Below are 14,831 nucleotides of genomic sequence, written 5' to 3'. Positions count from 1 at the left end.
GAGGCCACATTATGAAGCCAGATGCTCTCCGAGAGAGCTGCCTGGGCTGTCACCCCAGTGCTTGGGACACAGTGGAACATTCCTGACTACCTACTTTTTGTGATTAAATAGGGACATTGTTACCAGAGGGCTAAAACTTCCAGCCTCTCAGATTCGCCAGTGGACAGATGAGGTAGTCAGAGAAAGCACAGGAATGAGGCTGGCCTTGACTGGGAATAACTAAGCAGCATTTGCATAAGGCAAGAAGGCCCTTTTTCAAACTATGGCTCATCACCCGGGATGATGCTGTCGTGAACAATTTAGTGGGTTGTACATAACATCTTGTTAATGACAGAAACTACTTGTTTTGTGGATTGCAAAAAAAAAAAAGGTAATGATTCATTTTTTTTTTGTTACCTGAGAAAGTCTTTGGCTGCTGCCTTGAAACAGCCACAAGATGGCGAGGATAGGCGGGGACAAGGCAGGAACAGGAACCTAGATCCGGGCTGATGGTTATGATGGAGGTGAGGAAACTGGGCAGGGTCAACAGACTTGGAAGACAGCAGGTGACAGATTTGGTGCAGCACGTGTGACCGTGGACTCGAGGGTGATGCCCCAAGTGTGTAGCCTGGGAATCTGGAAGGATGAGGTTGCTATCAGCTGAGCTGTGGCCTCTGTGGGCGAGCAGGGCGGACACTGGGCAGCACCAGAGCCAAGAGGACAGCTGTAGGGGCGGGGAAACTGACTGACTACCCCTGTATCTACTCCTGAGGACCCTTAAAAAAAAAAAGAAAAAAAAGCGGTGGCTCACACCTGTAATGCCAGCACTTTGGGAGACCGAGGCAGGTGGGTCACAAGGTCAGGAGTTTGAGACCAGTATGGCCAAGATGATGAAACCCTGTCTCTACTAAAATACCAAAATTAGCCAGGCCTGGTGGTCGGCGCCTGTAATCCCAGCTGCTTGGGAGGCTGAGGCAGAGAACTGCTTGAACCCGGGAGGCGGAGCTTGCAGCGAGCCGAGATCGTGCCACTGCACTCCAGCCTGGGCGACAGAGCGTGACTCCATCTCAAAAAAGAAAAAAAAAAAAAAGAATAGTGGCAACCAAATTCTCAGAAGGCAAAGCAGGATGGAACAGTGAGTCATTTACTTTTTAAGTGAAAAATGGTCTGGAGTTACAGAGAAATCTGTAAAGAAATCAGTCTCGATTTCCTGATCCTTAAAGATCAGTTAAACCATCTGTTCTTTTGAGAGTATCAAATTCCTTCCAAGAATAAGGAGCCAGATTATAGTGGGAACTTCCCCAAAGTTATGGTCACTTCAGAATACAGCTGGCCATGTCAAAGAGGAGTTTGTACAAGAACCCAAAAAGACAGATCTCACAAAGGATTTCCAACTAGGTTTTATTTTAGTTTCCAATATTATGAGCAATGATACAGGAGTAACTCAAGCAAATACATCACCTTAAATACATCAGAGAAAACTCACTGTGTCAGCACGTCTTGCGCTCCAGCAAATGAACATAAAAACAACAATGTCAGCAGCATTAAAGTGCTTTTGGCCATACTTCTTTCAGAAAGGGTCTCTCCCTCAGTGGTATAAATTTAATTTTACGTATTGAAGAAGCTCAAAATTTCATTCATTCCCCAGGGGCTACATTGAAAAAAAATTCATGTTTACGCTAAAGAATTTTTTTTTTTCAAAAAGAGCACAAAATCCATTGGAATTGTGTGACAGTGATTTTCCCTGACATGCTGTGAAGTGGCCCCTGTCCATTCAGGCCCGGCACACGCCGGGAACATCCACCCACAGCATGTCCACCTGGCAGAGTCCATCACTTCGCCCCACACAACAGGACAGACTGAGGGCTTTAAATACAAGCAGGTATGTGAACAGGACATCACCTGTGATGTGGCCACCAAACAGTGCACAGAGGCTACCAACTCATTTCCTCAAAGATGAGTGATGGCTGGGCTGCTGGGCCCCTGCCTTGTGGGCTGCTTTTTGGGAGAGGTGTTGCTTATTTCTAGGAAGCGATCCAACTTGTGCCACACAGGATTTGTCACCCAAACTGCTTTTCTCACACAGTCAACACCTTGGTGACAGGCATCTGCCCCCACTTCAACCAGTAACAATCCCAAAACTCAACATCAGCATAAAGACAAGGGGGTCAGTCGAAGGTTCTGGAGATCAGGGAGGGTGGAAAGATGGACACTGGGTTTTCCACATTGTCCCTTGGCCAACTGCAGTCACTGGCACAGGAAATTTAGTCCAGGGCACTTGGGACAAGGTTGGGGGTGGGGTGGAAACATGTCTCTTAAAGGGCACAACAGGGATGCAATCAAGCCTAGTGGGTGGGGGCTCTCAGACCCATGAGCCCCTCGCAGAACGAGGCCAAGTGGACGGCCCATTCTCCAGCTGTCCTGTGTGGGGCCCATGCACCTCAGCCAGCCACCAACGTCCCCACCTTCCACCATCCATCCTTCTACTACATCCTTCAACCACCTAGACCATGCCATCTTCCAAAACAGATCTACACAAAACAGGCCTGCACAAGTCCAGGACTGACACTAAAGCAAAGGACACAATAATGAGAAGAGAGGCAAGTCCCTCCTTGTCCCAGTGACTGCCACCTGCTCTGCCAGCTCCCCATACATCCAACAGCCCTCCCCTCTGAGCTACTCCCACTCCTCCAGCTGCCTCAGCAGCATCCTTTCTACCACCCCCAGCACAGGGCCCGCCTCAGCCTAAGCCCAGGGGTAACTGAGCCTCACCACCAAGACGTGTCTGAGGCTCTGCAAATGGGATGAAGCACTGAGCCAACAGGCGAGATGGACACACACAAGCCACAGTCCTTCTGGGACAGACTCTCTGGGAAGAAACTCCAATCGTCCCTTACACCTGCAGGTGTGCTGGGCTGCAAGGAGGGCAGGTGCGCACAGGCTGGAGGAAGGTGGGGGTGTCTGTGTGATACCCTCAAAGGCTTCCATGAGGCATTGTGCAATGCTGAGATCCTGAGGCCTTATCAAGCAATCAAATGAACCAGAGAAAGCTGGAAAAAGCCTCAACTTAACTCCTTGGTACCATGCTGTCCATAGCTGTCGCTGAAAGTGTCCTTTGGGGGTATGAGCCAGCTCTTCCAGCAACAGCAGGCAAAGGTGGGGGAAAATAAGTAGTGCTGGAGGGCTCAAAATGGTACGAGACTGGGTGCTTCATTCTCTTGGCAGTGGCCAGGGGGCAGGAGCCACACGTGCCCCTGGGGGAGCCCACATGGCACTTAGGGCTGGCAGCACCGCCCCTCTCCACGCAGACTCCGCCTCAGGTGCCCACTATCTGCTGGGCTGCAGGTACTGGTGTGTGAACATGTTGAGCTCACTGTCCAACCAACCGGCTTTATTCCTGCAAAGAAATGGTTCTTTTGTAACCATGATAGCTGATGATAGGCAGTATTAGGACTACCCGCCAGGCACCATCCTAAGGACGCTTGACACACACCCTTACATCATCCTCCAACAATCGTGTTTATCCCTGTCTCACAGATGGGGAAAAGGAGGCCCAGAGGGGTTAAATAACTTCCCAAGGCCACACGGCTAATAAGCCAGGGAGCTACAAGTTAGGCTTTTCTGATTCTCAAGCCCTGTGTTTCCTTCACCCAGGACCATGTGCAAGTCCCTGAGCTGTCGGGAACTCAGTTTCCCTGCTTGCCAAGCAAGGGGTTGAGGTGCTGACAGGAGACCCTTTCCAGGTTCAGCTGTGTCACTGTGGCTGACAAGCAGCAGTTCCCCCCATTCCCCCTTTCTGAGAGTCCCCAGAGGGCAAGCAGTGTGTCCCTAGGAAGCAGCTGTCCCCAGGTGGGGGTGCGGGGGGGGCACATCCGCAGTCGAGGGCAGGGAAAGCCCAGTGATCCGGTGAGGGTTGGAGCTGACACCCTCTGATCCATCTCCCCTCTGGCTCTGCCACCCTGCAGACTCTGACGTCAGGGGCGAGGGCAGGAAGTGCAGGGTCCCCGTGTGCTGATGCTATCATGGGCTAGGCAGGCCGAGGACTTCTGCAGGGTCCCCGTGTGCTGATGTTATCATGAGCTGGGCAGGCCGAGGACTTTTGCAGGGCACTTTTACATTCAGTCATGCAGCTGTGTCATGAAATCTTACTCCCATTTTACAGATGAAAATAATGAGACACAGGAGAGTTAAGAGCTTGGGCCAAACATGAGTGGCTGGAGAGAACCCAGGACTCCAGACTCCTCAGACTGATGTTCTTTCCAGCAAATTATTAATGAAAGCTCCACAGAGACCCCATGGAGATCTGAGTTCCAATCCCAGCTCTGCCAGTCCCCAGCCAAGTAACCAGCTTCTCTGTGGGTAAATGGGGGGCTATGCCCTCTTCATGGGTCCAAAGAGTGGCAGGTAAGGAGAATCAGAGTGCGGGGGCTGCTGGAGCCAAGTACACCTGGGCTCCCCTCCTAGCCTGGCCATTTTTTGAGATGCCAGACAAGTTCCCCAACATTTCTATGTAGAAAATGGAGAAATAGGGAAGACTGAGTGAAATAGCACATGTTAAGCGCTGTAGGCCCTGCGGTTCAGCACAGGGCGCTGTGAACTGCAGTCTCGCAGTACTGTGATGCCATCATGCCTTCAACTGCAAGTGCCTTGAAGGCAGCGACGCTGTGTCTTGTTGAGCCTCCAGCACCATCTGGCATCCATGAGGTACGTGGTACACATCCATTTTTTTTTTCTTTTTGAGACAGAGTTTTGCTCTTGTCGCCCAGGCTGGAGTGCAATGGCATAATCTCGGCTCACTGCAACCTCCGCCTTCTGGGTTCAAGCCATTCTCCTGCCTCAGCCTGTCGAGTGGCTGGGATTACAAGCACACACCACCACGACCAGCTAATCTTTGTATTTTTAGTAGAGACGGGGTTTCACCATGTTGGTCAGGCTAGTCTCAAACTCCTGACCTCAGGTGATCTACCTGCCTCAGCCTCCCAAAGTGCTGGGATTATAGGCGTCAGCCACCGTGCCCAGCCCATGGTACACATCTAACACGAATGAGCTAAATCCCCACCAGAAAAATTTGTGTCCACACCCAAGACGCAAGCCCAGCAGCTGAGCCCCAGTGTGCCTGGGCTGCACCCTGGAGCCCTAACCTTTGGCCACACGGGCCAGCCTCACCTGAGCAGCTTTGCTTTGCTCTGAAGTGAGTCAAGAACCTCAATTTTCTTGTTCATGGCGGCAATTTCCTGCTCCAGGTTCTCCCGGGTGACGTCAACTTGCTGACACAGATGAGCAAAGGTCCCAGACAGTTCCCTGGGGAGGAGAGAGAAGGGACCCAGTTGGGGTGTGTGGAGCAAGATGCCACTGGTGGCTTAGCCCACCCACAGTAGGGAGCAGCTGGGCCTGTCTATATCCCTGCCAGCAGCTCTGCCCTGAGCCAGGCCTGGTTTGGCAGAATCTCCTACACCCTGCTGAGACTGAATAATCATAACAACCAAACACACTCAGCATCACCACGGCCTGAGAAGCAACAGCACAGAGCTGTGCACCCTGGTTTGGGCACAAGAGATCCTGACTCTGCTGCTCATCAGCCGAGTAGCAGAGGACACGTCACTATTTTTCAAATCTCAGTTTCTTGATTTTGAAAAAGGAGATGGCCCTCTCCCTCTCCCGCTCCCTCTCCCTCTCCCCACGGTCTCCCTCTCCCTCTCTTTCCACGGTCTCCCTCTGATGCCGAGCCGAAGCTGGACTGTACTGCCGCCATCTCTGCTCACTGCAACCTCCCTGCCTGATTCTCCTGCCTCAACCTGCCCAGTGCCTGCGACTGCAGGCGCGCGCCGCCACGCCTGACTGGTTTTCGTATTTTTTTGGTGGAGATGGGGTTTCGCTGTGTTGGCCGCGCTGGTCTCCAGCTCCTAACCGGCAGTGATCTGCCAGCCTCGGCCTCCCGAGGTGCCGGGATTGCAGATGGAGTCTCGTTCACTCAGTGCTCAATGTTGCCCAGGCAGTGGCATGATCTCAGCTCGCTACAACCTCCACCTCCCAGCCGCCTGCCTTGGCCTCCCAAAGTGCCGAGATTGCAGCCTCTGCCCGGCCGCCACCCCGTCTGAGAAGTGAGGAGCGTCTCTGCCTGGCCGCCCATCGTCTGGGATGTGAGGAGCCCCTCTGCCCGGCTGCCCACTCTGGGAAGTGAGGAGCACCTCTTCCCGGCCGCCATCCCATCTAGGAAGTGGGGAGCGCCTCTGCCCCACCACCCCGTCTGGGATGTGAGGAGCGCCTCTGCCCAGCCACAACCCCGTCTAGGAGGTGAGGAGCGTCTCTGCCCGGCAGCCGCCCCGTCTGAGAAGTGAGGAGCCCCTCCGCCAGGCAGCCGCCCCCGTCTGGGAAGTAAGCGTCTCCGCCTAGCAGCCGCCCCGTCCGGGAGGTGGGGGGTCAGTCCCCGCCCGGCCAGCCGCCCCGTCCGGGAGGGAGGTGGGGGGGGTCAGCCCCCGCCCGGCCAGCCACCCCGTCCGGGAGGGAGGTGGGGGCGCCTCCGCCCGGCCGCCGCCCCATCCGGGAGGTGGGGGGCGCCTCTGCCCAACCACCCCTTCTGGGAAGTGAGGAGCCCCTCTGCCCGGCCACCACCCCGTCTGGGAGGTGTACCCAACAGCTCATTGAGAACGGGCCATGGTGACGATGGCGGTTTTGTCGAATAGAAAAGGGGGAAATGTGGGGAAAAGATAGAGAAATCAGATTGTTGCTGTGTCTGTGTAGAAAGAAGTAGACATAGGAGACTCCATTTTGTTCTGTACTAAGAAAAATTCTTCTGCCTTGGGATGCTGTTGATCTATGACCTTACCCCCAACCTGGTGCTCTCTGAAACATGTGCTGTGTCCACTCAGGGTTAAATGGATTAAGGGCGGTGCAAGGTGTGCTTTGTTAAACAGATGCTTGAAGGCAGCATGCTTGTCAAGAGTCATCACCACTCCCTAATCTCAAGTACCCAGGGACACAAACACTGCGGAAGGCCCCAGGGTCCTCTGCCTAGGAAAACCAGAGACCTTTGTTCACTTGTTTATCTGCTGACCTTCCCTCCACTATTGTCCTATGACCCTGCCAAAACACCCAAGAATGATCAATTAAAAAAAAAAGAAAGAAAGAAAAAGGAGATGGCTATAAGACAACATCTACCTCCAAGAGTCAGAGAAATAATTAGGTGCAAAATGTCTAGAGCAAAGGGTCTGCCACACACAATAAAAAAAAGGAAGCGAGGATATTCATCCCCACCACCCCAGATTAGGCAATAGATTCCCACCTGACCTAAGATGTGCACGAAGATCAGGCTGGGTTCAAAAACTTCAAAACTACATCCACAGCCCAAGCTCTTCAAGGCAACCTCTAAAACTCCTACTAGGAATATCTCTTGCCTTCCCATTTCTTCCTCACCAAGGGGCCCAGAGGCCTACCCCGTCCCAGCCCAAGACGCAAAGTGTCCCTGGGAGACCCCTCTCCCCATGACTGGCCTCAAAGCTGGCCCTGCACACCTGAAGGCCCAGGGTCTACGATGCTTAGGACCCAGTGGCTTCCAGGCCACGTGGGAAGAGAGATGGGGAAGGGAGATGGGGCTGACCCTGCCTAAAGGAAGTCCCCTGCTGGGGTCCGACAGGGCCACTCACTGCTGGACTTGGTGGCTGCAGTTGGAGCCAGTGTAGCTGATGACAAGCTGCAGCTTCTCGCTGGCATGCTCCACAAACTGGCGCTTGAAGGCCCTCTCCTTGGCCTTGGTGGTCCAGGTCAGACGCTCATAGACGTAGAGGAGGCCATAGAGCCCAAAGGAGAGGGCAATGAGCCGCCAGCCCACTGCCTTCCACACCTGCAGAGCACATGGTCAGCCTGGAGTGCAGCCTCTCTGTGGCCCACCCTCCTCTGGGGCCCATCACTACCAGGGCCATCTGAAGGGCCCCAGCCAAGGAGCCTTCATGTTTCTACTCTGAGTTCCTCTTTCAATGTCTCCTTTGATCCCACCGAGGCCAGAAGGTCTGGGACCATGTCCAGCAGGAAGTGAGGGAAACTTGGTGAGGGAGTAAGCGCTCCCCATGCAATCACAGAGGAGAAAGTATGCAGTGGACTGTGGAGTGTGGCCCAATGCAGGGGCCACAGCAGGAACCTAGCCCTCAGGCCCCGCCCACCTGCCCTCCGCCCCCACCTTCCCGAGCAGAACTGGTCACTGACCACTCCTCCAACAACAAGAATGCCCATGGAGGTCCTGGATGTCAAGGAGGCCAGGCCGGTAACCATGGAAACCATGAACTCCTCCTGGGTGAGCGAGCCCTGTGGCAGTGGGGGCATGCTGGGGTTGGCTGGCGTCAGAGGGATGGGACGCTGGACCTGAGGAGAGAAACATGAGAGGGGTGAGGGGGACGTATTGAGTCTCTCATTCACGTGAACCCTCAGTGTTGCCCTAGTCTGGGGAACAGGGACACAGAGTGGCTCTTCAATTTCCAAAAGGCAAAAAGGGGACAACTAGCTTCAGATGTAGCAGAGGAGACCCTCAGGTGAGCACCACGGGACGTGCAAAATGTGAGCAGGAGCCATCCTGACCCGCCTGGCAGCTTCCCCGAGTGTGGGATGTGTACAGAGGGCAGTACATGTGACAACTCAAGTGGTTTAGAGATGAATGTTTTTAAAATCTGAACTTTAAAATAGTCGTATGTAGGTGGTTATTTTTAAAGTCGTCTATTTTTAATAGTTACATACTTACTTTAATGTGTATTAGAGAAAAATACTAGCATCTGTCATTTCACAAATATCACTGCTTAGAACAAATCCAGGTCAATCAGTAGCAAAAATTCTGTCTGTGGTGTACTGTGTGGTGGGGCACACCACCACAGCTGCTGACCTTAGGGAACCCCCGTTTTAGAATGGTTCCCGTGTCTGGAGGCAGGGTACAGACTGACCCCCCACAATGCCCTTGAGGTGAGGAACTTTGCTTGCCTGGTCATTGTAGCCCATCAAGGCCCGACGGCTGTTCTTGGGGCCCAGGAACCTATTCACCAGCATGGTCCATCCGAGAGAGAAATGGAACTCAATGTCTTCCTGGAAGTCAGCACACAGCTTGTCACAGTTTAGGTCATAGTTGAGGGAGAAGCACTGGCGTGGGACCAGCATGTCTATCTGACTCCGCACAGACACAGGAAGGAGGGGTTTCAAGCCATCTGTCAGGAAGAGAAATGGAGGAAAAGCTTATCAGCTCAGCCCTGCACCACAGCGGCACCAAGCCTTGGAGACAGGGCTCTACCAGCTACTGCCAGGGATGCTGAACAGCTTTGCCTGGGAACCACACCCCAGTCAAGTTGGCCCGTGAGACTGAGCATGCCTCACTTGAGGCCAGCTCTCCCAGGCAAGTGTGGACTCAGATGCCATACTGCTAACACTTATGCCTCACGTGGACTTAAAGGAGCAGGCCCAATTCTCAGCCTAGGGTAGACCCATGTAGTAGAACAAGATGGGCTCCCCAACCCTGTGTACAGAATGAGTTCACAAGGCCAGGGCCGGTGGCTCATGCCTGTAATCCTAGCACTTTGGAAGGCCAAGGCAGATAGATCACTTGAGGTCAGGAGTTAGAGACCAGCCTGGCCAACGTGGCAAAACCCCATCTCTACTAAAAATACAAAAAAATTAGCCAGGTGTGGTGGTCACGCCTGTAGTCGCAGCTACTCGGGACGCTGGAGCAGAAGAATCGCTTGAACCTCGGTGGCAGAGGTTGCAGTGAGCCAAGATCATGCCACTGCACTCCAGCCTGGGTTACGGAGTGCGACTCTGTCTCAAAAAGCAAACAAGAATGAGTTCAGAACATGTACCCAGAACCTGAAGGTATCGAGTTGAATCATCATGAAAAGTGACAGATAAGGAAAGTCCTGATTTCTTTAGCTTGGCCTCCGCATCTGATCTTTGGGCAGCCCAGGGCCACAGCTGCCCAGTTCCCCATGGGCACTAACCTATCATGTCCTGCTGCATGGTCTGCAGGGAGTTGGTGATGGCCGTGGAGCAGCGGTCAGACATGTTTCGACCCAGTCCTTCCTCTATGTGGCGGTGCAGCTCCTGCCACCAGAAGAGGGAAGTTAAGAGAAGCATGTCCATCAAAATTCCCTTCAGGCCACATCCACCAGGTGACCCCAGAAGGCTGACGGAAGCCTGGGCCTTGTCTCTGTGGCTTCTACTGTCACTGCTGGGGGGCCCTGACCCAGACCAACAGGGGTTGAATCACTTTTGGGGGCCTCCTGCCAAGAGGACCTGTTGCTCCATGACTCACATTCTTATAAACCTTGAGGACTACTGGAGAAGGGTGGAAGTCCATCTGGTAATCGTCCACCAGTACAGAGAGGCGCCTGATCTCCTCGGCCATTGCAGTCGACACCTACAGCAAAAGGAAGCACACTGTTAAGTATCAAGGAAGACCAAAGTTCACTCCTGCAGCACCAGGAGAGATCCTAGCAGATGGCACATCCTTCCTCTCAAACCAGCAGCCTCCTCAGCTCCTCTATGGAATTAAAGCCTCTGAAGTGAGAGGGTCTGGGAAACTGGCTGATCAAACGCCCACATGATCTGTGGAGGTCCAGAGGAAAGGGAACATGCCCAGCATCACACAACCCGACAATGGAACCCAAACGGCAGCTCTGTATTCTTGAAACAGGGCCACAACTTTCTTCTGAAAGGCTGAGAAGTCCCTAAGAGGAGGAGGTCTGCTTTCTTCTGGACTCTACTCGGAGTCCAAATCTTCCCAGAATGCCTCCTCCTCATTTCTCACCTGCCTCTCCACTTCCTCCGTAATCTGCTTAATTCGCAGCTTATAGTCTTGAGCCAAGAGCTCCAGCTGTTTGTCAATAAATTTCAGTCGGTCTTGCCGCTCTTCACGCATTTCCTCGCAGTAAACCCTGAAAGCAGAGTACTGGTGAGAAATCCATGTTCCTGTCTGACTAAGCAGAGGAGCAAGAGGGGATGCCAGAAATCCCACGCCGCCCTGCCCGCTATCTTGCCTGGCAGGGCTGCACACACGCACCCAGGGGCATGGCCTTCCCCTTCCCAGGTAAGAAGAGGACCCTGCAGCCAACCATGCACTCTTCAGTCTTCGATGTGGGTCAGGTGGTGGGCACAAAACAGGGAGGGCGCTTTAAGGGGGTTTAAACAAATTCTGCCAATTAATATAGGGAAAAAAGCTCAACCTCACTAGTAATCACAGAAATGATTTTTTTTTTTTTTTTGAGATGGAGTTTCACTCTTGTTGCCCAGGCTGGAGTGCAATGGCACGATCTCCACTCACTGCAACCTCCACTTCCTGGGTTCAAGCGATTCTCCTGCTTCAGCCTCCCGAGTAGCTGGGATTACAGGCATGCGCCACCACACCCAGCTAATTTTGTATTTTTAGCAGAGACAGGGTTTCTCCGTGTTGGTCAGGCTGGTCTTGAACTCCTGACCTCAGGTGATCCATCCGCCTTGGCCTCCCAAAGTGTTGGGATTACAGGCGTGAGCCACCATGCCCAGTTGTAAATGAAATTTTTAAAGGCACTATTTTCTACCAAGGCCTGGCAAAAATGACCAGGTCTGAAGTTCTGGTGAGGGCTGATGAAATGGAAGGCCTATGGACAGTACTGGTCATGCAATGAATGGGTACGGCTGTTCTGAAGAGCATCAAGAAAACTGACTAAAACTGGAAACGCGTGTACCCTAAAACAGAATTGCCACACCCCTAGGAACTCACCCCAGGAAGACTCTTAAAAAGGTGCACAAGGGGACACATGAACAAATGTCCACTGCAGTAGGGTTTCCAATAGCAAAAAAAAAATCTAAAATTCCATCCATAGGAAAATGAGGCATATTCACAATGGAATATACTACAGCAGTTCCGATTCATAAACAAACTACACATACTAACAAGGATAGAGGGAAAAACGATGTTGAGAAAGCAAAGCCAGGTACAGTGACAGACAGTGTGATGCCACATCTGTACATCTGAAGCATGTAAAAACCTGACATATTCCTCAGCATTTATGTAAAAAGTACTGTTTGGGTGATAGAACAATGTAAATTCATGATTATGGTGCCTCAGGGCAGAGTGACACTGGGACAAGTGCAAAAGAATCAAAAGGGAACTGAACTTTTTAAAATTTTAACTTAACATAAACAACTGAGAAAGTCAATTCTGTGTGATAGAAGCAAGGTGTTTTCATATTATTCTTTAGTGACAGGGTCTCACTCTGTTGCCCAGGCTGGAGTGCAGTGGTGCGATCACAGCTCACTGGAACCCTGAACTCCTGGGCTCCAGTGATCCTCCTGCCTCAGCCTCCCAAGTAGCTGGAACTACAGGTGTGTGCCACCACACCCAGCTGATTTTTAAAATTCTTGTAGAGATGGGATCTCACTATGTTATCTGGGCTGGACTCCTGGCCTCAAGCAGTCCTCCTGCCTTGGTCTCCCAAAGTGTTGAGATCACAGGTGTGAGTCACTGCTCCTGGCTGGAATGTTGTTTTGAAAAATGTGTTCAGGCTCTGAGAATGGCTGCAGAGCTCAGCAGGGCATGGGCCAAGACCTCCAACACAGGGAATCGTGCTGCACAGACCAGGTGGGGTGATGAAGCACCCAGCCGCCCTCCTCACCAGGCTGTCTATGTGGTTCTAACATGGTCTGGTGGCCAGGGAAAGGGCTCTGGATGGGAGCCCAGAGACTCAGCCCTGCCATCAAGGCGTGTCCTAACTGCCCAAGGCAGGGGTGGAGCACCCTTGTCTCGGCAGCTCTCTCCACCTATCTGCAGTCTTGGACTCTTACTGCTGCTCCCGAGCCGCCATGTGCAGGGAGTCCATGATGAGTCGAACCGCCTCTGCAATCTGCTTGGCCCGGACCGTGTGCTGCTCAAACTTGGTCTTCACTGCAGACTGGGAGATGCACTCCTGGAACACACAGAGGCACGGAGGGAGGTGGGGGCCACCAGGGGCCTACAACCAAGGGCCAGACTCTGGTTTTCACTGCCAGGGACACAGCCAATGGGAGCTGGGGAGGCACAGAATCGCCAGATACCAGAATCAGAGGACTCACCTCAAATCTCCTCTCAAAATTCTGAAACTCAAACATCCTCACTTGAAAGCCTTCTGCGAGAGCGCCCCCTAGGAGGATTGTACTGCATTAGTCCAGAAACAACTTGGCAGCAGAGGAAAACGATGAAATCCCCAGAAACCAAGCCACTGGCTAAAGAGCAAGAGCCTCTCTGCTCTTCTCAGCATCCCCTTCTCAGAAGGATTTTCTACTGACAGACTCCTCAGCACGAGACAAAATGTCTCAAACATCAGAGAAAAGGAGGACATCTGTTCTCATCATTACCTCCTTCAGGCATGCCCTGGGCTTTCTGAATCCTGGCGTTGAGCACCTCCTTAGCAGACACAAAGAAGATGCGGTCCCCGGCCTGGGATCGATCCACCACGCCCAGCTCATCCACCAGGAAGCTGGTACAACGCTCCATGTGCTGCCGCCGCACCTGGAGCCCAAACAAATGTGTCCAGAGTGAGTGTAGGTGGCCCCACAGCCCCCACCTGCCTCTTTTATTAAAAGAATAGGTCATAAGAGGCTGGGCATGGTGGCTGACGCCTGTAATCCCAGCACTTTGGGAAGCCAAGGCAGGTGGATCACTTGAGGTCGGGAGTTCAAGACCAGCCTGGCCACCATGGTGAAACCCTGTCTCTACTAAAAATACAAAAAAATTAGCCAGGCATGGTGGCAGGCGCCTGTAATCCCAGCTACTCAGGAGGCTGAGGCAGGAGAATCACTTGAACCTGGAGGCGGAGGTTGCAGTGAGCCAAGATAGCACCACTGCACTCCAGCCTGGGCGACAGAGTGAGGGAAAAAAAAGAATAGGCAATATATTCACATGGCTCAACAGCCAAAGGCACAAACACATACACAGTGTAATGTCCCCCACTATTCTGCTCTCTCACCACCAAGTTTCCCAGACCAACGTGTGGGGGTTACTTGGCAGTGAGCGTGCCAAAGATATTTTATGCATATACAAGCAGAAATGCTTAAACGTGCCCTAGACTGCCTCTTGTTAAGCCTATATAGTGCCTCATTTTGGTGCCCTGGCAGGAAAGGAACCCTGAGGTCAAGAAACCTAAATCTGGGACCTATACTCTGACAAGCTGTGTCCTCCTGGGGCATTGTTTATAAAAGGAGTGGGCATCACTAGAACATCCCTCCTGGCTCTGACATCCTGGGGTTCTACCGATAAAATGTGACAATAGCTTCTTGTAGACACCTACCACGTGTCAGGTGTTTTTGACAGATTTCATCCTCTCAACAAGTCTATTTATCACACCATCACACTGGCCAGGAAATTGGATTACCAGAAGGGTCAAGGAAGCTAACAAAGTCACACTGCCTAGTGTCAGTCACAAGCGGGCACAGTGGCTCACGCCCGTAATCCCAGCACTTTGGGAGGCCGAGGCGGGCGGATCACTTAAGGTCAGGAGTTCAAGACCAGCCTGGCCAACATGGTGAAACCCCATCTCTATTAAAAATACAAAAATTAGCCAGGTGTGGTGGCGGGTGCCTGTAATCCCAGCTACTCGGGAGGCTGAGGCAGAATTGCTTGAACCCTGGAGGTGGAGGTTGCAGTGAGCCGAGATTGTGCCACTGCACTCCAGCCTGGGTGACAAGAGCAAAACTCCATCTCGAAAAAAATAAATAATTTGGACTCTGGCCTACTGACTGCAACTGCATGTTTTATCATCCCATATTGCCATATTATCAATCTTATTACCCTTTATTTGTTTAATTATTTTTTGTGAGACGGAATCTCACTCTCTTGCCCAGGCTGGAGTACAGTGGCACAATCTCAGCTC

The 14,831-nt window shown here is 52.4% G+C and overlaps 1 protein-coding gene across 8 annotated transcripts in view, besides 7 other annotated features; it reads right to left on the bottom strand.

Moving 5' to 3' along the window:
• MFN2 (mitofusin 2) overlaps positions 1,364–14,831 on the bottom strand; it is a 33,065-nt gene continuing 19,597 nt past the window's right edge. For all 8 annotated transcript variants that reach the window (XM_047436154.1, XM_047436149.1, XM_005263543.4 and 5 more), the window contains 11 exons: positions 13,318–13,471; positions 13,036–13,103; positions 12,769–12,890; positions 10,754–10,880; positions 10,259–10,363; positions 9,945–10,047; positions 8,941–9,161; positions 8,179–8,334; positions 7,623–7,819; positions 5,146–5,280; positions 1,364–3,376 (listed from right to left, as the gene is read on the bottom strand). In XM_047436154.1, coding sequence (XP_047292110.1) covers positions 3,307–3,376; positions 5,146–5,280; positions 7,623–7,819; positions 8,179–8,334; positions 8,941–9,161; positions 9,945–10,047; positions 10,259–10,363; positions 10,754–10,880; positions 12,769–12,890; positions 13,036–13,103; positions 13,318–13,471 — 1,458 coding nt within the window. In that variant the 3' untranslated portion in view covers positions 1,364–3,306. The remainder of the gene's footprint in view (positions 3,377–5,145; positions 5,281–7,622; positions 7,820–8,178; positions 8,335–8,940; positions 9,162–9,944; positions 10,048–10,258; positions 10,364–10,753; positions 10,881–12,768; positions 12,891–13,035; positions 13,104–13,317; positions 13,472–14,831) is intronic.
• Positions 5,635–6,299: an enhancer, noted in NCBI's record as "H3K27ac-H3K4me1 hESC enhancer chr1:12068630-12069294 (GRCh37/hg19 assembly coordinates)". NCBI's record gives its function as "activates a minimal SCP1, AML or CMV promoter by ChIP-STARR-seq in primed H9 embryonic stem cells {active_cell/tissue: H9 hESC(primed)}" and the evidence as "EXISTENCE:reporter gene assay evidence [ECO:0000049][PMID:30033119]".
• Positions 6,300–6,965: an enhancer, noted in NCBI's record as "H3K27ac-H3K4me1 hESC enhancer chr1:12067964-12068629 (GRCh37/hg19 assembly coordinates)". NCBI's record gives its function as "activates a minimal SCP1, AML or CMV promoter by ChIP-STARR-seq in primed H9 embryonic stem cells {active_cell/tissue: H9 hESC(primed)}" and the evidence as "EXISTENCE:reporter gene assay evidence [ECO:0000049][PMID:30033119]".
• Positions 8,919–9,018: an enhancer, noted in NCBI's record as "active region_185". NCBI's record gives its function as "activates an Ori minimal core promoter by ATAC-STARR-seq in GM12878 lymphoblastoid cells {active_cell/tissue: GM12878}" and the evidence as "EXISTENCE:reporter gene assay evidence [ECO:0000049][PMID:35858748]".
• Positions 9,029–9,108: an enhancer, noted in NCBI's record as "active region_184". NCBI's record gives its function as "activates an Ori minimal core promoter by ATAC-STARR-seq in GM12878 lymphoblastoid cells {active_cell/tissue: GM12878}" and the evidence as "EXISTENCE:reporter gene assay evidence [ECO:0000049][PMID:35858748]".
• Positions 9,029–9,342: a biological region, named in NCBI's record as "ReSE screen-validated silencer GRCh37_chr1:12065587-12065864".
• Positions 9,065–9,342: a silencer, noted in NCBI's record as "fragment chr1:12065587-12065864 (GRCh37/hg19 assembly coordinates)". NCBI's record gives its function as "represses an EF-1alpha promoter that drives an FKBP-Casp9 reporter gene in an ReSE screen in phorbol 12-myristate 13-acetate-treated (for megakaryocytic differentiation) K562 erythroleukemia cells {active_cell/tissue: K562(+PMA)}" and the evidence as "EXISTENCE:reporter gene assay evidence [ECO:0000049][PMID:32094911]".
• Positions 13,145–14,074: an enhancer, noted in NCBI's record as "H3K27ac-H3K4me1 hESC enhancer chr1:12060855-12061784 (GRCh37/hg19 assembly coordinates)". NCBI's record gives its function as "activates a minimal SCP1, AML or CMV promoter by ChIP-STARR-seq in primed H9 embryonic stem cells {active_cell/tissue: H9 hESC(primed)}" and the evidence as "EXISTENCE:reporter gene assay evidence [ECO:0000049][PMID:30033119]".

The sequence above is a fragment of the Homo sapiens genome, chromosome 1, assembly GCF_000001405.40.
Source record: "Homo sapiens chromosome 1, GRCh38.p14 Primary Assembly".
NCBI classification, from domain to species: Eukaryota; Metazoa; Chordata; class Mammalia; order Primates; family Hominidae; genus Homo; species Homo sapiens.
This window is presented reverse-complemented; position numbering and strand designations above follow the sequence as displayed.